General features: G+C 37.2%; 2 long non-coding RNA genes across 2 annotated transcripts; both read left to right on the plus strand.

Annotated features, from left to right (window-relative positions):
• The first annotated feature begins 3,511 nt into the window (after positions 1 to 3,511).
• LOC105376921 (uncharacterized) lies at positions 3,512 to 16,759 on the plus strand. Its single transcript, XR_940533.2, has 3 exons — positions 3,512 to 3,634; positions 16,367 to 16,555; positions 16,669 to 16,759. It is a non-coding gene; the product is annotated as an uncharacterized LOC105376921 (long non-coding RNA).
• Positions 16,760 to 16,926: 167 nt separating this feature from the next.
• LOC107986040 (uncharacterized) lies at positions 16,927 to 19,162 on the plus strand. Its single transcript, XR_001740550.1, has 2 exons — positions 16,927 to 17,054; positions 18,890 to 19,162. It is a non-coding gene; the product is annotated as an uncharacterized LOC107986040 (long non-coding RNA).
• Positions 19,163 to 22,345: the final 3,183 nt, after the last annotated feature.

Here is a 22,345-nt window from a genome sequence, read left to right on the forward strand (position 1 = left end):
AGGTCTCTTCTTAGTATCTATAAGGCAGAAAATCCTCCCCAGGTTTTGTTTGTTTGTTTTTTTTTTGAGACGAGTCTCGCTCTGTCTCCCAGGCTGGAGTGCAGTGGTGCGGTCTCAGCTCACCGCAAGCTCTGCCTCCCGGGTTCATGCCATTCTCCTGCCTCAGCCTCCCGAGTAGCTGGGACTACAGGTGCCCGCCACCACGCCCGGCTGATTTCTTGTATTTTTAGTAGAGACGGGGTTTCACCGTGTTAGCCAGGATGGTCTCGATCTCCTGACCTTGTGATCCGCCCGCCTCGGCCTCCCAAAATGCTGGGATTACAGGCGTGAGCCACCACGCCCAGCCCCTCCCCAGCTTTTATATTGAACTCTATTGTAAAAAATAAAGTAAAGGTTCCTCTTCAAAGATTTTCCTCCCCATTTATTAGGAATAAATAGTAACTTCTCTTAGAAGCAAAATTTATTCAAAGACCTGTGCTAACATTCTTAAATATCTGCTAGCTGTGGTAAAGAAATCAACGTACTTTATGTTCTTAGCTCCCACAATTTGGCCTAAATATTTGCCCTGGCAGGCTTATACTGGTTGAAGCAAGCATTAGGTCATAGCCTGTTCCTTTTCCTTATTTAAAGGTGTTTTTACCTTTCTCAGCATTCCACAAGTTACTTCCTCTCTCCTTTGTTCTCTTCTACTTTTGCCTCTTTAAAAAGTTCTAAGTCGCCAGTCAATCGAGACAAAACAAAATGTGAGGCCCCGTTCCAGCCAACGGAAACTGGACACAACAGTATGGTGGGCACTGCAGGTTGGAAATGACCCTGTCTCCTTTGTTTGGTGTACTCTCCTGGCAAAACTGCTGGTGAGTGTACCCTTTCTGCAGAAAGTATAAAAACGGCCTTGCTGAGTAAATTAAATTTATGTTCAAGTGCTATTCTTTACGGCACCGAGAAACAAGCATTTCAAACGTCTATGATAGGTAATACATGAATATGCTTACGTGTATATGATAATGTACATATAATAATGTACAATATATAAAATAATATGCATACATACTTCTGAGCTTATAGTTCTTAAAATATGCCAAAGTAAAATAAAAGCTCATTGTTCATCTGGATCCATTATTTTCATTTATTTTTGACATGCTTCTTAAATATGGGCAATTTGGATGTATGCATTTTAATTAGTAAGACTAGCTAATGTATAAAATTACTTTTAAAAGTAAAATAAAACAATAAAAAATAATTTGCAAGTATTAAAATTCTCATAATTGGGTAAAGTTCAAATGAAGAAATTCAGCATTTTAAATTTGAACCCTTTTAGAACAATATGTTCTGGTCTCAGACGTTACACGTTTCATTTTTTAAGAGGGAAAAAGAAAAAATGAGAAAAACAAGCTAACAAATGCCACGGAATTATAAATTAATAATGCTTGTTATGTTCTGTGGTTTTTGAACCTCTAACTATTCCACCCAAATAGAACATGGCACTTCTCACTCTAGTGTGGTCTGATATAAGCCATGGATTCAGGTACTCTCAGCGGCCAGACACATCCTCAATCAATTATGGAGAGATCAACAACCATTTTGCCTTTCAAATGAGCTTGAGAAAAATTGGGCTGTTTTCCCAAAATGGAGGAAGGAGATGAGAACTGCTCATTCTCTGAAAAGGAATCATGTTAATGAAATGACAAAGAGAGCTTTGTTCATTTAAATACCATAAAGTCCATCCGAATTGGTAATAGAGTACATAATTGTCTCTATTATATCTCAGTCAAATCTTTGCTAAGGGGCTGATCTCTTCAGTCCCCTTAATGAGAAAGAAAACTGGAAAGAACTCAGTTTCATGATATTTAAAATCCTTCCCCAGGGCACATGGGCTCTATAACAACCACAAAAATCCATTACTGCATAAATATAATCTTTTGAATTTTAAAGCAAAAAAATAGAAATAACATGTATCAGAAAAAGTATTGTGCTACTAAAAAGAAAGTGATGCTTATATTTTATTTATTTATATTTTCCAATTAGTTTGCAATGACTATGAATATTACTTGGTTAATTACTTTTTAATGACTGTGTTATTAATTCATAAAACTCTAAATAATGTTTGACTGCATCTGTGTCAATATATATGTGAAAATGGAGTGAAAATAAAGCATATCCATACTTTGTGTATTGAAATTTTTCTTTATATTTTTCTATATTGTGTACATTTTGCATAATAAACATAAATAGCTCTGATTTAATGTAATTTTAAATTCTATAATATCAATAATATTATTCATTATAATATATACTAGAATAAAAATAAATCTTTTTTATTGGAATATTCCTAAGTGCTTGCTGTTTTATTACATCAAATGTGGTTATTAGACTGGCAAAAGAAGGTTTATCCAGGTTATTTTTTTTTTAATTATCTGACCACAGGATAAATGTGGCTCATGGAAATTAATTGGGAGCACCTGTTCCAAGGTAGCTTTCTGACAGAGGAACATCAATCTTCCCATTGCATGTAATTCTTCTTCTGAAGAGACAGAAAAAGTCTGTTTTTGGAAAAGTCAAGGTATTTGGCCACGGAACCAGACCTTTCTTTCCAACAGCCTCTGTTAGTGTTTCCAGCTTCATGTGACAAAGAGATGGGTCGATCAAAGTATTTTTAATGTGAGTCAATTAGGCGGCATTGTTGAAGAAATCCATTCAGAAACTGCAGGTGTATCTCTCCGCATTTGAAGTGGGCCTGTGGGATTCAGATGTGATAATGGAAAAGTGGATAAATGACAGCTCTGGGCATCAGTTTCAAGGAAGTGCTCAGCTGAATATAGAAATCAAATGGAAGAAAACAAATAACACTTTGTGGATCCTCTCCCCTCGAAACTTGAATTGTTCCTTGCTCCTCTGTGCTTCCCAAAAGAAGACAAAAGGTCAACTGGTAACCTTTCACGGCTCTTAGAGCTGGGTGACTTTCTTCTCAATTTATACAAACAAGGTATGTACACACAGCTCTAAATGACTTGGTTAACAGTCCAAAAATACTTGGTTATTTCACTGATGCTGAATAATTCCCTGCCACCTTCACCAATGAACAGTTAAAAAAAAAAAAGCAAGCTTAGTTCTTGTATTCATTTGAAATCATAGTAACTGATGAGTTTGGTAACTTACAGTTCTAGAATTGTTTCCTGTGACACGGTGGAACTAGAATATCTCGAAAGTATTCCTACTGCTCCATTCTATAAAGTACAATAGTTTCACCTTATCTGCAGTTTGGCTTACCCACCATCCAAAAAAATTAAATGGAAAATTCTAGAAATAAACAATTCATAAGTTTTTAGTCATGCACCGTTCTGAGTGGCCTGGGGAAATCTCCTGCGCTCCTGCTCCACCTCGCCTTGGATACAAATCCTTCTTTTGTCCAGCATATCCACACTTTCTACCCACCCATCTGTTAGTAACTTCATAGCCGGCTCAATTACCAGGTGGACTGCTGTGGTATTGCAGTGCTTATGTTCAAGTAACCCTTCTTTTACTTCATCATGGCCTCAAAGCACGAGAGTAGTGATGCTGACAATTTGGATATACCAAAGAGAAGCTGTAAAATGCTTCCTTTCAGTGAAAAAGTGAAAGTTCTACATTTAATAAGGTGAGAAAAAATGGTATGCTGAAGTTGCTAAAATCTATGGTAAGAATGAATCTTCTACCTGTGAAATTGTGAAGAAGGAAAAAGAATTCAGCAAGTATACATAGGGTTCTCTACTATTGGAGATTTAAGGCATCCACTGGGGGTCTTGGAACATATCACCTCTGGATAAGGGGGGACTACTGTATGCTCTTGGCTACTATGGTGGAATTTGCAAGTTCTCCTAGATTAAGGCATGTGTTGCAGGATTAGGTCATAGAGACAGGTGGGCTCAAATACTGACTATTCCACTTAGTAGTTAAGTGACTGGGCTATTTAAAGTTTCCTCATCTGTTAATGAAGATAACAATTCTCACCTCATAGGGTCATTGTGAAAATCAAATACTATATTGTTGATAAATCTCAGCATAAAATCAGTTTTTATCAATAACTGTTTTATGATTGCTATAAGTTTTATCATATGAATTCTTAAATTTGTTGAATATCAGTTTTCTTGCCTGTAAAGTGGGAAAAATAATGATTTCCTCTTAGGTATGACAATTAAATTGAATGAGCTAACTCTGTAGATACTGGGTACTTAAAGGATAGTTGCTTGGTATAACTATTCTTTATTATCACTATTATTATTACTTGAGAACTTTCCAACTTCAGTGTTTCCCAAGGTGTGTTCTATGTCCTACATTTGTGTGGAAGGAATACAACAATGAATTTAAATAAACGGCGCTATACTTACATATGTATTTTATTAATAATAACCAGCAAAAGAAACTTGCTTTATACAACTTTCTTTTATACAATATTTATAAATTAAAATTGATAATTGGGGCAAAAAATAGACAAAACAATGATACCAGTGGTATGGGGGAATGGCAAAATGCACGTGCTTATTCATTCATTCACCTAGTCCCCTAAGTGCTAGGCACTGGACCAGTGCCATGTAACAGAACTTGCCTGCCTGGCAGACATACTTACTACCCCTAAACTGCAAACTAGCATTGAACATAATGGCATGCAATTGCCTTAATCTTCAAGTTGAGCTGTCTATTTTACGGCCTCAACAGCACACATCTTGGTAACAAGGCTGAATATGCCAATAAGCAGATTCCCAACATGAAATTCTAATAAAGATCAAAATGAGAGAACATAGCAACTATTCCTCACTTTTCTACATCTTAGTGTGATGGGGAAAAGCAGACTATTTCAATGCAAAGAAATCAAACCAATCAATGTGCCTGAATTGCAGTTCTGATCTCTATATGAGGGAAGGTTTAGGAGATTATGGCATTTGACCAAGGGGCCCTCATAACTTTTGTTACCACTGAACTTTGATTATTATCTAAAAGAAAAGTAAGAGTTAAGAGAAAAAGAAATGTTATTCTGATTTAGATGAAATGAATGAATTTTATTAATGGAAAACAATAGCTGTGGTAGTAATAATGGCTTTTTCCTACATGTGAGGTAAACCATAGCATATTTTTCATTAAGGAAATGAATTACAATTTCCTTCTATTACAAGAGTAAACAGGGAGGACATGGTTTTGCACACTGTGAATAAACAAATACATAAGAAATAAAGCAAAGTCTTAATGCCTGTCTCTTGCAAGCCCCTTTGTCTGAAACAGCACAGCACAGCTTGTCTCATGCATGGTGACAAAGAAGCAGAGGGAAAGTCTTACCAAAAATGCAGACTTCAGTTACAATGTCATTTGATCTTGTCCTTTGAGATGTGCTTTTCTGAAAATGCCTCTGCCGTTCAGCACTGCATCAGCAAAACAAAGTCCATGAACACGAAAACCGAATCTATAACCATGCAGAGCTGTGAAAAATTTCTAAATGTGTTCAAAAAACATTTTGATGTAAATTAACCTAAACTCCCTGTATGGATATTGTCAATTATTCATGACACAAATCATGCAACAGAGCTGTCAGTAGGTACTTGATAGAATATACAGAATGAAATACATATATATATAAATACAGATATCATGCATATATGTTAACATATTCATGCATATAAATATCCAATCACATAAACATATATTGACATATATACATATATAACACATTCATGTAATAAATAAATATATGTCCATGAATACACATATATACACATACGTAAATGAGGCAAGGTGGTAGAATCAAAGAGCACTGAACCGACCATGCTTGGAAACCTGGATTCTAGCCGTTTTGTGTGAGTCACTTACTCCTGTTTCAGGATCTCTATTGCCTCAGTGTTTGGACCAATGTCCCATTTCAGTATAAAATTCTTTCATTCTGTGTCCCCTTATCCCCTGTCTTACCAGATGTGGTACAGATGTCTTTTTTAGGATGAGCCAAGGTCATCAAGCTTGGGAACTTGTAAGTGTCGATTGGAGGGGTGAGAAAGGCATTCTCCCTAGCTCACTTGGCTTCTATTCACCTATCAGACTTTCTCTGGGCTGTGTCTGCAGACTTTTGTTTATATCTCTTTGGATGTTTTTTCCTAAATGCTAGAAAACTGATCCTGGTTCTTTCTGTGAATGAGTTTTCACTGAGGTCTCACCCAGCAGTGAGCTACCAGCTCTCTTCATTTGAGAAGAGTGAATAGCTAATTATTTTATGACATACAATAGAGTCGAAATTAAGTTACTATGTTTTTGTGCTATTTTTTAATTTTCACTATACTCTAAATGTTAACAGACGAAAGCCTAATTGGAATTTTCCAAAGGAAGTCTCATTTTTCATAGCTCAGTCTAGGAGCAAACGCCTCTATTTATGTGTTAATTTTTATTTGATGCTTTTTTGTCATTTTGTTTATTACTTCTTTGGATATTAGTTAACATTTATTGAAGCCTTACTGGAAGGGAGCTGTCTATTTAATTATCTTATTTAATTTTCATAACTATCTATTATAATTATCCCAATTTTAGAGATGAGAAAACTTAGGCACAGAGGTATTAATTAACTTGACTAAGGTCACACAGCTAGGGTGCCAGAGCTGAAATCTGAATTTGAGCAGTCTGTCTCTAGAGTCTGTACTGTTAACCAAGATACTCTACTGCCACCATTGTAACATTTGCCAATATGACTATTATAGGTACCAAAAAATCCTATCTCAAACCCATATAGTGTATCCAAATATGAAGTCATCTTGTAATGTATGTCTACCCTCTACACATTGAGACTTCTTGACAAATGTAGTAACCAGTGGTGTGACCTTGCAGAAATTATTAAATTATTTTTGCTCCTTTTTCTTCAACTCTAAAATGGTTATAATAATAGTTGTTTACCTTGTTGGGGCTCAGAAACCAATACCTCAAAATATGCTGCTCTGGCATGCCAAAGTAAAGGGAGACCTTTAAGGTCTCCCTCTGACCTTCCTCTGCCTTCCTGTTTCTCTGATCCTTTTTATTTTCCAAAAGGGACTTTCTCTGAAATTTCCGTATTTGTCTGAGAAAACTTCTTGTAAATTAAAGGAAATTATCTTAAAACCCTCTTCTTAGGAATCTCATTAAATAACCAGGAAGGATTAACACTGGAGAAGAGGAGAGACTGGAAATTGTAACCACATGCAGACAGACTTTTCATCGATTCTTTTAAGGGCAGTTGTGAGAAATTACTTGGGGAACTGTACTTGCGTAATAAGACAACCATTGTTCACAATGCAGTTCTGCCCCACACCCTTCTCTAACTTGTCCACCAGCTATTGTGTGTTTTTTGGTTGCATTCAGCATCCAAAGAGAATCTTTGATAAATCATTATCTTGTCCTTGGGTCTATTCATTCACTTTCCTCTCTCCAATGAAGAGGATATTTAAGCATCAATCATCTGGCCCTTTTTTGAGTTTTTAATATTTTTTTGTGTGACTCCTATGCACATAATAAATTTGTTATGCTTGTCTCTTATCAAGCTCTCTTTTGTTACGGGGAGTTTTGGCCATGACCCTTTATGAGGAGAAAAGGGATCACCCCCTTTTTGCGTCTACAACCTTATAGAGATGTTGTAAGGGTTATATGAGACAGTTTACATAAAGTATTTAGTACCTTGCCTAGCACATAGTTAGTGCTCAACTAAGGCGAGTTATTATTACTATTAGCAGTAGTGTCATAGAGGAGACAATTTAGAATTTGTTGTTAGAGAGAACTGAATTTGTATCTTGGATTTTCCATCTATGTATTTCCGTTACCTCTTCAGCCTTGCTGGTATATTGCTACTTGTTTTGTAGTGTTATTTTATATGCTTGTGTGTGTCTGTGTAATATATACAGGGAGAAGAGAGAGAGAAACATATTAATATTGAATAACTGCTGGGAATTTCTTGTCTCACACTTAAAATGATAATCCAGTTTACATGCACATAATACATGGATGCAGATTTGTTGATCAGATTAATATTATAAGAAGCTAAAATAGGAAACAACCTAAATACTGAAAAATAAAAAATTATTTAAATTGGTGTTAATATACCTGTGTAACAAAAAGTTACACAACCATTAAAATTATGTTTAGGAGGAATATGTAATCTGAAAAATCTTAGATTTTTAAGTAAAGAAAAGAAAACAGGCTACAGGGTAGGTTGTGTATCATAACCCCAAAGTAGAAGAAAAGTGTACAAATAGATGTGGATGAATATATACAATAGGAAACATTCAGAATGAAAGGTTAACAGTGGTTATTTCTGCAAGTTACCATTACCAGCAGTCTTTATTTTCTATGTTCACTTATGTGTTTGTGTGATTTGTATATCACATTAACATAGTTTATGTTTGAAACACTACTACTAATAATAATGATAACTAATAGGTGTTATTTTATAAAGTAAAACAAAAACTCAGTGGTTTGGAGAAAAAGAAATTACCTAATTACCTCCCTCTTCAATCCAGTCCTTGAGTCCTACTCCAATCAGACAAACCCACACACAAACACATAGCCTGTCATCCATCACCTCCATCTGCTTCTCCTTTTCTGTCTGCTCAGCCACATGCTTCTACTGAAGACTGTGTCTATGCCAATTTTCCAAAGCTTCTTCCGTCTCGGGCCATTGCTGATACTTGACCTTTTACTTTCCAATCTGTTCTGTCCATCACCAGTGTTTAATATTTCTATCATGTGCATTTAAATGATTATTAGCGTTCTCTTTCAGGAAAGAACCCCATCTTCTCTCATTTGTCTTACTCGAAGGTGACGCACAGAAAACTTGATACCAAGTTGTTGCTTCATGAGCACTCAGGATTGGCCAGCTTCATTTCATGATCTGTCTAGGTTCCTTGCTCTAAATCTTTCACCGGATCAGAAACATGAAACAAAGTGGTGCTTTAAGTTGCACAGTCTCCCCCTTATTGCTTGAATTTAACGCTGCCGTCACACAACAATGAATCTTTCACCTGGAGGTGTGGTGGTGAGTGAGTTCTCACTCTTAGTTCCCGTAAGAGCCTGTTGTTAAAAAGATCCCGTCACCTCTCCATGATCTCTCTTGCTTCCTCTCTCAGCGTGTGATCTCTGCACATGCCAGCTTCCCTTCACCTTCCACTCTGAGTGGAAGAAGCCTGAGCCTTTCACGCGATGCCCAGTCTTCCAGCCAGCAGAATTGTGAGCCAAATAGTTTTTTCTTTATAAATCATTCAGTCTCAGGTATTCCTTTATAGCAACACAAAATAAATTTAGACAATTCCTCTCTGATTTTTAACTTCTTCATCTATAAAATGGAGATAATAACACATTCTTTAAGGTATCTTTTTAAAGCCTAAATGAAATAATACTTAAAATGCTTAGCAGAATGTCTGACATAAAACAGGATATTATTGATTATTAATTGTTATAGTAGGCAGTGAGGTGGCCCCCACAAAAAGATATGTCCATATTCTAATCCCCAGGTTTTGTAACCATTATCTTACACGGCAAAAGAATAACTATTTGTCTTATAGGGCAAAAGATGTTATTAATCTAAGGACCTTGAGAGGTGGAGCTATCCTGGATTATCCTAGTGCAAGGTAAATGTGATCACATCCATCCTTATCACAGAGAGGTGGAAGAAATTTAGACACAGACACACAAAGAAGAAGAAGATAGACAGAAGAAGAGTGGGTGATGTGAGACATAGACAGAGATTGAAGTGATGGGCCCACAAGCTAAGGAATTGCTACAGCCACCAGAAGCTGGAAGAGGCAAAGAACAAATTATCTCCATGAGGTTTCAGAGGGAGCACAGCCCTTCTGACACTGATTTCAACTCAGTGAAACTGATTTCAGATTTCTGACCTCTAGAATTTGGGGAATATAAATTTATGTTCTTTTAAGCCACCAGACATGTGGTACTTTGTTACGGTGGTAATAGAAAACTGATACAGATTTTATTTTGTTTTGCTTTGTTTTGAGACAGGGTCTCATTCTGCCACCCAGACTGGAGTGCAATGGCAAGATCATGTCTCACTGCAGCCTCGACGGCCTGGGCTCAAGCAATCCTTCTACCTCAGCCTCTCAAGTAGTTGGGATAGTACCTGACAGTAGCCACCAGGTCTGGCTAATTTTTTATTTTTTTGTAGAGACAGTGTTTTGGCATGTTACCCAGGCTGGTCTCGAACTCCTGGACTCAAGTGATCCTCCCACCTCAGCTTCCCAAAGTGCTGAGACTAGAGGCATGAGCCACCAGGCCAGGTTCAGGTTTTTTATATTTGTTGTAATAAATTTCTAAAAATGTAGAAGTGGCTTTGCAATTGCATAGTGATAGAAGCTGGAAGAATATGAGGAAGCATGATAACAAAGGACTACACTTCTTTGAACAGACTATTTGTAGAAATATGGACATTGAAGGAGATTCTGGTGAGAGCTCAGAACAAAGTGAGGAACAAGGTAGGGAAGTCTTCTATAGTTTTAGAGAATACATGTGTTGTCATAGAAAGAATATTGGTAGAAATATGAATGTTAGAAGCACGGCAGAAGAGGGTTCAGCACCAGGAATAAGCAGCATGTTATTGGAAACTGGAGGAAAAGGGATCCTTATTATATACTGGCAGAAAAGTTGGCTTAATTGTGTCCTACAATTTTTGTGTCAAAAGCAGGATTTATAAGCAATGAACTTGGATATTTAGCTAAGGAGATGACCAGGTCTGCTGTCAAAAAGTGCAACCTGGTTTCTTCTTGATGCTTATTGTAGAATGCAAGAGGGAATAAATGGATTGAGGAAGGAACTGTTAAGCAGAAAGAAATGATGATTTAATAATTTTGGAAATTTACAACCTATCAGGATTAAAAAGAAACCTAACTAATATTGAGACTAAGGATCACCGTTAGAAAAAAGAAATGCTCTTGAGAGAAAGCCAAAGTTGTGGCTGGACAGGAATTTAATAATTGCAGATGTGTGACTTCTGAACTCACTCAACCGTCTCAACAGAAGCTAAGAAGAGTTGGGTTTATCCAGGAAAGGCCTACGGAGTATGCTGTTGTTTAATTATATGAGTCCCTGTGACAAACATGGGAGACCCACAAGGTTTTGGGGAATATTGTATCAGCAGAAACACTGCCAGACTGGCCTGAAAGGGACATACATGGGACATAATGAAGGCAGACTGTCAGACTTCTGGGATTTTATAGGCAGAAAATGGGCTGATAGAACTAGTTGGCTACAAACATGTATTATCATTCAAAAAAAAGAGAAGAATGACTCTGAGTGCAGAGCCTTGGGTACAGAGGGCAAAGCTCCAGACCCAGAGATCATAGCTTCAAGCAACAGAAAATAATTGTCAGGTCTTGAAACCTAAGGAAATTTTCCTTGCTGGATTTTGAACTGGCTTGGCATCAGTGACCACTTTGTATCTTCCATTGTCTCCCTTAAAATGGCAGTGTTTATAACTATTAACTACACTTGCCCATCATTGTATTTTGGAGGCAGATAACTTTTTTTTTCGAGGTTCTCATGTCCACAGATGGAGAGGGATTTTGGTGTCCTATCTATTGGCCCTGTCAAGTTAATATATAAAACTAACAATCACACATGTATCCTTCAAAGCGAAAGGAAAAGGGAGTCAGAGATAGACACAAAACGGAGGACATACACAGAGAAGGCAATATGAAGAGAGCAGCAAAGATTGGAATGATGCAACTACAAGCCAAGGAATGCTGAGGGTTGATGGTGCCTACCAGAAGTTAAAAGATAGGCATGCAGCAGATTCTCCCTTACAGTTTTGGAGGAAGTGTGACCTTGCCAACACTTTGAGTTTGGACTTCTGGCCTTCATAATTATGAGAAAATACATTTCTGTTGTTTTACGCCTCCAGGTTTGTAGTAATTTGTTACAGCAACCTAGAAAACAAATACAGTTCTCTTAGCTCTTGGTAATCCCCAGAAAGTAGAATAGGCATTAGCCCAGAGTAAGCATAAAATGTTACTGATAATGTTATGTCCTGATTTATAGTTCATTTCTGAGGATATTGTGTGTGCTCAGTAAATGTTTTTTGACTTGAATAAAAGTCCCAAAATGTGCAAATAGGTGTCACGGACATCTCTAAAATAGCCTCAAAGAACATTTCTAAAATGTCCCCCTCCTCCTCCCTGTCTTCTAAACACTCATTTCAAGTAAACACTGCTTCGAAAGCAAGTTTAAAATGCAGCTTGATTGATGGCTCATCAGCAGCAAACAATCACATTCAAAGCCGCATATTTACATGGTCAATACACAAATTAAACATGAGATTTCCCTGAAGTCACTCTATAAACTTGTTAGATCAAAAGTCACTTATGCACTTCATTTCGGGGAAGGAGGTCACCCAGCCTGCAGAACACAGATTATTCATGGCATGAAGAAATTCTTTGTTTCGCAGGGTTAGGCTTGGATCAGAATTGCGGTAAACCTCTTGGCTAGTAGCAGAATATTGACTAAAGCTCTGTCTTCCACCAGTGCAGAGGAGAAAGCCCTGTCAAAACCCACAAGAAATCTTTTTCTTGTTTCTAATCATCTCAAACACTGCTGAATACTTTATCTCTCACAGGAGCAGACTTCTTTGTTCTCACAGTTACGAAATGAAGGGGAGGGTGAGGGCAATCTGTTCTCAGCCAGAAGCAAATGAGGTTTTGCAAGATAACCAGGGGCATAGAGACTTCTCCCATACCTGGTAAAACATTGTGTCTAGGGATGCCCCACCCCAGGCATGTTGCCTTCCTCTGGACCTGTGCCAAGATCCCGAACAAACCTAAATGGGAAACTCAAAACCAAGCAGAGAAAATAACTGAAATCCAGGAGGAGTTGGTTTATGAAGCCCAATTAGATAGCCTGAATATTGCATTCAAAAGGTGACTAAGTCAAGACTTGAAAAACATCAGCATAAGTCAGAAGGATGTGAGTGGTAAAACTGGCAAGGAGTAGACAAAATGCAATGGGAATAGTCAATGCATAGAGAACATATTTTTTAAAAAGAGATTAAATGGCAGTGTAAAGAAAATCTTACTCTTGGTAAAACCTCAGTATCTCTCTTTTTTAGGATTGTATTTTTGGGTTGCTAGCTTCAGGTTAAAATATATAGAAAATACTGTAGTATTATGAAGGCCATACTACCAAATTTTTAGGAAATATTCTATGCTAGGTATTACATTAAATATTTTGTTAATCTCTAACATCCCTACAAGATGAAGTCAGATAAAGATAGAAATTAAGACTGAAAGATTAAAGGACTTGTTTCACATCATACAGTTCATAATTGCTGGAGCAAAGATAAGAATTCAGGTCTACATCTTTCCATTAGATCATGCTACTCTTTAGTCAAACTCTCTAAACTACTCTTCACCAACAATTAACGTTTTCTCTGTAATATCATCAGTAGGCGAATGAGACTTGTTACCAGCACTCTATTCAAATGTATGTGGGGTGAAATAATAAAGCACTTGAATTAAGGGAGATTTTATTCAATGTTTTAGGAGAGATTCTCTCAGCATCTAGTATCCCTAGTTACCCCCTTCAGCTTCCTGAGGAGGATTATTTCTCCTTGTCTCTACAGGCCTAAAGAAAGGTAAATCAGATGTATTAAAAGTGCCTTTTCAACTTATGAGAATCTGCAGTATGCTTAGTTCTTTGCTGGGACACTGTTACAAAAGGAATAAATGAATTACTGAAGTCTCTGCTCTCAGGAATTTATCATGAAGAGGGACAGAGTGGAACTTCACAAAATTATTAGGAAGTGCAACACAAAAGTCAGTTTAGGTCAGAGCCTTCCCTCATTCTGATTCCACATTCTATTGCTTTGAACATGTTCATTTGTCCGATCTGGAGACTAACTGTTTCTTATACTCTGATGGTCCCCTTGGGTTTACACCGGTTTCCACTTTTTCTGCTCTAGTAGTAACGTCTCCTTGTTAGGCATTAGGGCTTTTGCAGAATCCTTTACAATATGACAGAATAACATGAGTCAATTATTTATAGTTAAGGTGCATTGAAAACATATATTTCAAAATGAACATGGTGCAGAACTTGCTGGATATAGGGAATGAAGAGAACTAAGAGGTTTGCAAAGAAGTTTTGGGTGAGGAATTGAGAAAGAAATGAGAGCTGTGAGAGGATGATAGGTTAGAAGAAAAAGGGAAAAGAAGATTTTACAAAGTGTTAATTTAAATTTTAAATGAACAGTTTTCCTTTTCTGAGAAATGCAAGTTAATGGATGTGCTGCAGTTTGCACTACTTCTGGCTCCTGGGCTGAGTGAATGTCACTAGGATTCTCCTCAGAAACTCTACTACATGGGTGCCAGCTTACATTCAGGTTACATGTATGTAGCACTGTCTATGTGGAAGCACCATTCTAGGCACTAAGTATACAATAGTGATCAAGGTTGGTGATATGGTTTAGCTGCTTCCCCACCCAAATCTCACATTGAATTGTAGCTCCCATAATGCCCACATGTCATGAGAGGGACCTGGTGGTAGCAATTGAATCATGGGGCAGGTTTTTCCCATGCTGTTCTCATGATACTGTATAAGTCTTATGAGATCTGATGGTTTTGTAAAGGGCAGTTGCCCTGCACACACTGTCTTGCCTGCCACCACGTAAGATGTACCTCTGCTCTTCCTTCACCTTCCACCATGATGGTGAGGCCTCCCCAGCCATGTGGAACTCTGAGTCCATTAAACCTCTTTTCTTTATAAATTACCAAGTTTTGGGTATTTATTCATAGTAGTATAAAAATAGACTAACACAGCTGGCATAGTCTCCAGCCCCAAAAGAATTCAAATTCCAGTGAAAAGGCAATGACAGAAATTATCACCATAGTAGGACTATAATTTGTGAGGACGTATGATGCTTTCTAAATATGGCACCGTTTATTCCTCAGACCAATCTTGTGAGATTAGTGTTATCAATTCTGTCTGATAGTGAAAGAATTCAACTCAGAGAGTCCAGGTTCTGTTCAGTGGAGATGCATATAATGAACAGCTGAGCTGGGATTCAAAACATAGATCTGTCTGAGTCCAAAAGCCTTCATCTTGGCAGTGGAATATAGTCAATGGCTAAGAGACAAGAAACAATGGAGAGCTTAGAACTAACCCTTTGGAGATGCTAACATTCCTGGGTTTGGAGAGGAAATGCTGGTCAGGGGCTAAATAAGGCACTCAGGATGTCAGAAAGATGTGGGACAAAATAATGCAAGGTGGTATAATATTTCTGAAAGCTGAAGAATTGACATTATCTAATAATAGGGAAAAACTCAGGATGTAGTCAAGAATCCTTTATTTTTGGAAATCCTAATATTGAAAGCATAGATTTCAGGTGGATGTTGAAGTCTCCAATGGCCACCAAAACTGCAGGGCTCTAAAAAGGTGTTAGGTTTTGAGAAAAACTTAAATGTGACGCAGACCTTTTATTCAGCAAAAAAAAAAAAAAGTTGTTGCAAAGGTAATCACTAAAATGGACAGGCATTTTAAAATATTAAAACAATGAGGTTTGTTGACAGGTATCTAATAGAGGAAAGAAAAAGCCAGTTGAGATGGCAATATTGAAAACGGCCACCTGGCACACAACTTCGGGGGGTGCCATTCATCTTGAGCTCTGTTTCAAGGCATGTGTTACTCATAGATCACAATACGAATGGTGCCCTCTAGAGCTGTGCAACGCGCATCTGTGCAACGATGTTGCTGTGAGAGGGAGTAATGTCTCATAAAAATCAACATGAAAGAATAGGAAAAACATAGTCTTGGTATTTAGAAATGTTACTGTGTGCCCTTGCGTACTTCATTTTATTACCTGGACCTCAATATATATAAAATTGAAAGACCGGACTGGGTGAATTGTATTAAGAGCACTAGGAACATAAATTCAAATTTGTGCTGTATTTACAAACCTCTTTTCACAATCACAATTACATTTAATATAATAAAATGAATGATGGCATGTTATTATATTCATCTTATTATTCTCATTTTTATTCTTTTTAATTTTTTTTTTTTTTGAAAAATAGAGACAGGGTTTTGCTATGTTGCCCAGGCTGGTTTCAAACTCCTGGCTTTAAGCAGTCCTCTCACCTGGGCCTCCCACAGTGTTAGGATTACAGGTGTAAAGCCACAATACCCAGCCCATCTTGTTATTTTCATAATAAATAAGCTTTTAGTTTTTAACCTGAAGTTCAGTAAGTTCAGCCAACTTGTCTGTGATCAGACAACTAGGGACTACTGGTGGCCAAAATAAAAATTCCTAATGGCAAACCCTATGTAGAAGGGGATGATGTCTAGGAAAGAGATGGAGGATTGGTGATGCATTCACATTCTTCTTATGATCTATTTGCAGATGTCTTCTACGAACATTTGTTTCCCAAACCAGAGAAACCCTTATTCACTCATTAACCATTGGGATTTTTGTTCAAAGGCCCATGAATTATTGCTACTTTAAATTTGCAAGCAAATTTATAATTGGATCCTGATGTCCCAGCACCCATAAATATTTTATAATAATTGTACAAACAACACTTACATTAAGGTTAGTGTAAAAGCCTTAGTAAAACTGTCAAAGCAATTTAAACAGAAAAATATGATTAAGGTGTACTTTTTACTTTTTTCCCAATAAATATAACTTGTTTTATGATATTCCAGGACATGAACGATTAAAATAGGGAGACCCCCATCTCTACCAAAAAATAGGAAGAAGAAGAAGAAGAAGAAGAAGAAGAAGAAGAAGAAGAAGAAGAAGAAGAAGAGGAAGAACAAGGAAGAGGAGGAGGAGGAAGGGAGGAAGAAAAGAAAAAATATTAGCCCGTGGTGGTGGCACACACCTATAGTCCCAGCTATTTGGGACGCTGAGGCCAGAAGACCCCTTGAGGCCAGGAGTTTGAGGCTGCAGTGAGCCATGATTATGCTACTGTGCTCCAGCCTGTGAGACAGAGTGATATCTTATGTCAAAATAAATAAATAAGTATTGGTGAAAATATAATAGGATAAAATTGCAAGCCATAGGAAATGGAAGTCTAGCACTTACAGAGGTAAGCAATCTTATTTAGTTGAAAAAGCAGCAGTACTTAGCGCCACCATACCTAACTATGAATTGCTGCCAGGTCCCTTTAACGTCTGTGGGTTTTGGAACCAGTGATTTAACCTCTGTGTGGCTCCATGTCCTCAGACCTGAATTGGAGGTCATACCTATCTCACTAAACTGTGTGACAATTTAGTACAGTAAGTATGTGAAGTGCCTGATAGAGCATGACAAATGGTGGTATCTGAATTGAGAGTAGTCATGTTCATTAATACTAAAAGTTTTACAGGACATTTTTAAACTGTGTATTCATCTATTATGTTTCAAGTGATGTTTAATTTAAGACTTTTCAGTTTGACGTTATTGCAACAGAGACATGTTTCCCATATGACCACATATATTCCTCCCTAAGTGTTATATGTTGCAGACTATTCTTGTAAAAATATGAGACAGTTAATTTAAATTCATATCATTGATTATGTATATGGAGACAAGGTTTATTAAAATTGGCTGGTTGACTTGATTATATCAATTTGTATTTAGGGATCTATGGTCGATAAATTAGATCTGCGATTTCTTCCTTTCCTGAGTTTCACAGGCTTTGATCAATAATTTAGAAGCAGCTTTCTTTTAAAAGACATACGCTCAACATAAGCTTAACTGAACGACATGGATGTTAATAAAACTTTTCTGGCTTTCCAAGCCGTGATTTTATTTAAAACTGAATGGACATAAATCCCCTCTCATTTGCCAAATATAATTTAATCATGCGATATGTTATGGTTATTAAACGTTATATATTAGAGTGGGGATGATCTGGGCGTGAATCCTAGCCTTACTATTTACTGGTGTGTGTCCTGACACAAGTTTGTCAGCTTCTCCAAGCTTCTGTCTGTTCATTGGTTTAATGGGCATAATAATACTTAACTCAGAACTTTGTCTGAATAATTAAATAAAGTATATATATATGTAAAGTTATATATATATGTATTTGAGACAGGGTCTCACTCTGTCACCCATGGAGTGCAGTGGTGCAATCACAGCTCACTGCAGCCTCCACCTCCCCAGGCTCAAGTGATTCTCCCACCTCAGCCTCCTGAGTAGCTGGGACTAGAGGTGTGTGCCACCATGCCCAACTAATTTTTTTTTTTTTTTTGTAGAGATGGGGTTTTGCCATGTTGGCCAGGCTGGTCTCGAACTTCTGGGCTCATGGAATCTGCCCACCTAGGCCTCCCAGAATGCTGGGATTACAGGCATGAGTCACTGTGCTCGGCCAAACTATCATTCTATTTTTTTTAAAAAATCATATTATCTATCATGTAGTAAAGCCTCAATAATTGTTACTTTCATTATGGATATTATTATTTGTATTGTTTCATGAGTTTGAAATATTTACCAAATGTCTTTAGAAAACTTCTGAAAATAAAAGCCTTCCAGGAAATTATTTTTATTTTCTAGTTAATAAAATTTTATGTTTGAGGATTTTTTAAGGTAAATAAAATAAAAACAGTTATTAGTTTCTTTTTTTTTTTTTTGGCTTAGAACTCTTCAAAAAACAACAACAGAAATGGGACCATAGATTCATTAAAAAAAAAATTGTAACATTCTTTCAAATGTTTTATTGAAGTAAAATAATTACAGAAAATTGTTATAAAGACATTGGTAAAGCCACAAGGCAGATAAAAAGGAGTTTGAATACTTTGCAAACTCCTGATCCCCCAATTTATAGAAGAGAAAAGATAAGGTTACTAAGAGCAGAATACAGAGGCATATAATGTTGTTGATGTTGACATGAATCATGTTGGCAGCTTTTGGAGTTCAAAATGCTTCTTGTTTTCTTGGCAGAGATGGTAATATTGTGAAGCAACAGTGTATTGAAATTATGAAATAAGAGTTTTTCATGCAAATGTGAGGAATTTGCTGAGGACAAGTAAGAAGAAGGCCAATTCCTATTGTGCAAATCCTCTGGTCACTGGCTTCAACTAATAAGGACAAGCAAAAGCATAGGAAGTCATTTCCCTCCTACAAAGATCATTGCAATGAATGGGAACTGGTGCTTTCTGTGGCTCACGCCCAGTGGGTCTGAGGGGAAATAGAATCAATAAAACTTTAAACATAGTAAGTGCTAAATGAACACTTCATGAATTGAAAGCTGACTAGAAAGCCAGCTATGAAGACATATTCTAGAACCACTGGCTGGGGAGGAAAAAAAGCACACCGAATAAAGCACAAGCTGCAATAATCTCTTTAGTTAATATCCGACTTATTTTTTTTTAAGTATAATGCAGTACATTTCCACAGTGCAGAATTAGAAAATGCAGAAACGAAAAAAAAATGATTTAAATGATAGTAGTCTATGATTTATCACCTGACGCAGCCACAGTCTAGCTTTGTGATTGCAAGTGACTTAATTAAGTCTTATTAAGTCTCACTTCACTCAAAGCATGCAATCATAATCCCTTCTTAACGTTTTGATGGGGATGAATGAGATAATAGGTAGCTTAGCACAAAATCTGGCACATAATAATTGAGTAGCAAAATGGGTAGATTTAATGTTAAAATACTATATTTTACAAATGTATGTCTAGTCTTTGTTTCATTGTATGGATAACAGATTTCAGAGTTCATTTCCCGGATATATACTTTTATAACCTGCTCCCTCTATTTTTATCATAAGTACTCTCAAACATCAACACAATCTCTTTATAAATATCACATTGAATGGCTACATAATAGGCTATCATAAGACTTCACCAACTTTCTTCAATTATAATATCTTTTATTGATAGAAATTTAGGTTGTTTCCTAACCTCTCATAAATAAAGCTACATGAAAATATGTCCATCAAATTTACATTAATGATTCCTCTGGTACCTTGAACCCCTACTCCTTCCACACACACTTCTCTATTTTCACCTCTATCCATTCCACTGAGGAGTATGGTAGATTCAGTTTTTAGTCCTGTCTCTGAATGTCATTCAACTTTACTGGGCCTCAATTTTTCTCCTGCAAAAAGATCTCCGGGTCACTCTCAAGCCTAACATTCTACTATTTTATGTCTTGAACTTTTGCTTTTATAAAGGAACAGGTATCATAAAAAGACGATTAAAATTCAAGTCACCAAACCCTGTCAGTACTGCCTCTAATTTATGCGACTGGATGCCAATACCTTTACCGGATACCAATACCTTTACCAATACCTCGCCTTCTGAGTGTCATTCACCTGTTTACTCCCATCAAGGGGCACTGTTGACTCATTGGGACCCTCCGTCTGTCATTTTGAAACCCCAAGGTTGCCAGCCATGGAGGCACCCTTCCCATTGAGGCACAGCTTACAGTGCCAGGAGCTGCCTGGCCCCCACTTTCATCTCTAACCTCCTCTGAGGCTGCCTTTCTCTGACTCCCCGTGCGCTAGCTACAGTGCCTTTCTTTAAGGCTACAGTGGCCTTTCTTTCATCTTTTGCTATGCCGACTCCTTTCTTGTCTCAGGGCTTTTTCACATCTCTTTGCTCTGTCTGACCTGCCATTCTCTCGCATCTCGTTGCAGGATTACCTTTTTATTCTTTCTTTGGTGGCAATGAAAATATCGCCTCCTCAAAGCCCTCCCCTGCCCACAGCATAAAAAGCAGCCCTCCCCTTCCCTATTCTGTAACATAGTCCCTTATTGCTCAGTGACTATCTAGCAATGATCGCAGTCTGAATTTGTTAACTTATTTATTCATGAATATTTTTTCTTCTTTTTTGTTTTTATTTTTGTCTCTGCTCTATAATGAAAGCTCCATGAAAGCAGGGACTATAGTTGTCCTGTTCTTCATTATAGCACTAGTCTCTACTATGCTATGTGCCTGGAATTTTTTTTTTGTACTCAATATTTTTTTTTAATACATGAAAAAGTATTAGTTGGCCAGATTTCTGCAGAAATTCTGTAAACAAAGAAATCAACGTGAACGCAAACAAACCAAAAACCCTAACTCAGCCTTGTTTAAACCTGAATAAAATAAGCAATATCAGGAGTCTTTTAATATTTGTGAAATGTTAGCTTTCTCCTTACATTAAACCTAAACCTCACCATCTTGCAAATGGCCAGAACGCCTAGTAAATCAGCCTTCACCTTGACAGAGGAAGAATATAGAGAAAGGATTTCAACAGAACTGAAGTGAGGGTGATCATAGCAATCTTCAGTGTACTGAGCTGATTTATAGGTACAGACTACTTCTAGATTACCGACCTGCCACTGAATTCCAACTAGGCCCCTTAAAGTATTCCTGCCTGAGAAAAACACCCCAGCTCTGGATGCACCATCAATATTAAATTCCACGAGAAAGGTGGCTGTGAAAAACACACACGTCTTCCACATTAATGATTCAGGTGACTATATCAAGAGCATTGCCTTTTACACCGCAGCCCTGCTTTTCTTGAATAAAGCTCATATGTTTTTTGTTTACCATAGGACTCTCATTCTTTCTTTTTTCAAAAAAAAGTAGACTTAGCTTGTCTTTTCCAAAGTATTACTTTCCGCAGTTTGCCAAGTCACATTGGTTTTGGTTTATCTCATTCCGTTTTTATTAGGTTGGTGCAAAAGTAATTGTGGTTTCTGCCATTACTTTCAATAATAACTTAAAAAGGACAAAAATCAATGTTGAACATTGGCCACTGTCAAACCACCATACATGGTCTACCTCATTAAAATCAGACCACAGAGTCTGTAATGAATTCTTGTTTCAGGAGTTTACTATCAGGCAAGGAAGATTTTCTGTGTTAAGGTCAAAAAATTTCATTCATGCTGCAAATCACTTTGCTTCCAGTCACTGTGCAAAAGTTCATGTCTGTTTATCAAGGATTTCTGGATGCCTCCTGCTATCTGTACATGTGCCAGAATCTTTGAAGAGAGCATTGTTTTTGTGCAGTGAATTCCAGTTCAGGACAGAGAACATTCCTCCTCAAAACAACCATTTTAGAAGACAGCCTTCAGTGTAGTATTTCTTACACTGAGTACTGGTTGAGCTTTGCTGTGTATTTCTCTCTCTCTCTCCTCTCTCTCTGTATGTGTGTGTGTTTCTTCATCCTGAAGCGTTACCACTTAGCCCCAGGGGGAATCTGTATTATTACTTGTAGATGAAAATGTGGTAAAGGGCTATTGTGATTTCAAAACTTCCATATTTTCTCAGATAAAGTTTCCCTCCAGTTCCCCCTCCCCATTGTTTTCACTCTGAGAGCCTCAAGTTGGGTGCCAATTAAAACTGAGAGAATATTACAGTGTCACAGAACAACTATATTAACCACATTTGTCAATATGTGCCA

The sequence above is a fragment of the Homo sapiens genome, chromosome 3 (assembly GCF_000001405.40).
Source record: "Homo sapiens chromosome 3, GRCh38.p14 Primary Assembly".
Taxonomy (NCBI): domain Eukaryota; kingdom Metazoa; phylum Chordata; class Mammalia; order Primates; family Hominidae; genus Homo; species Homo sapiens.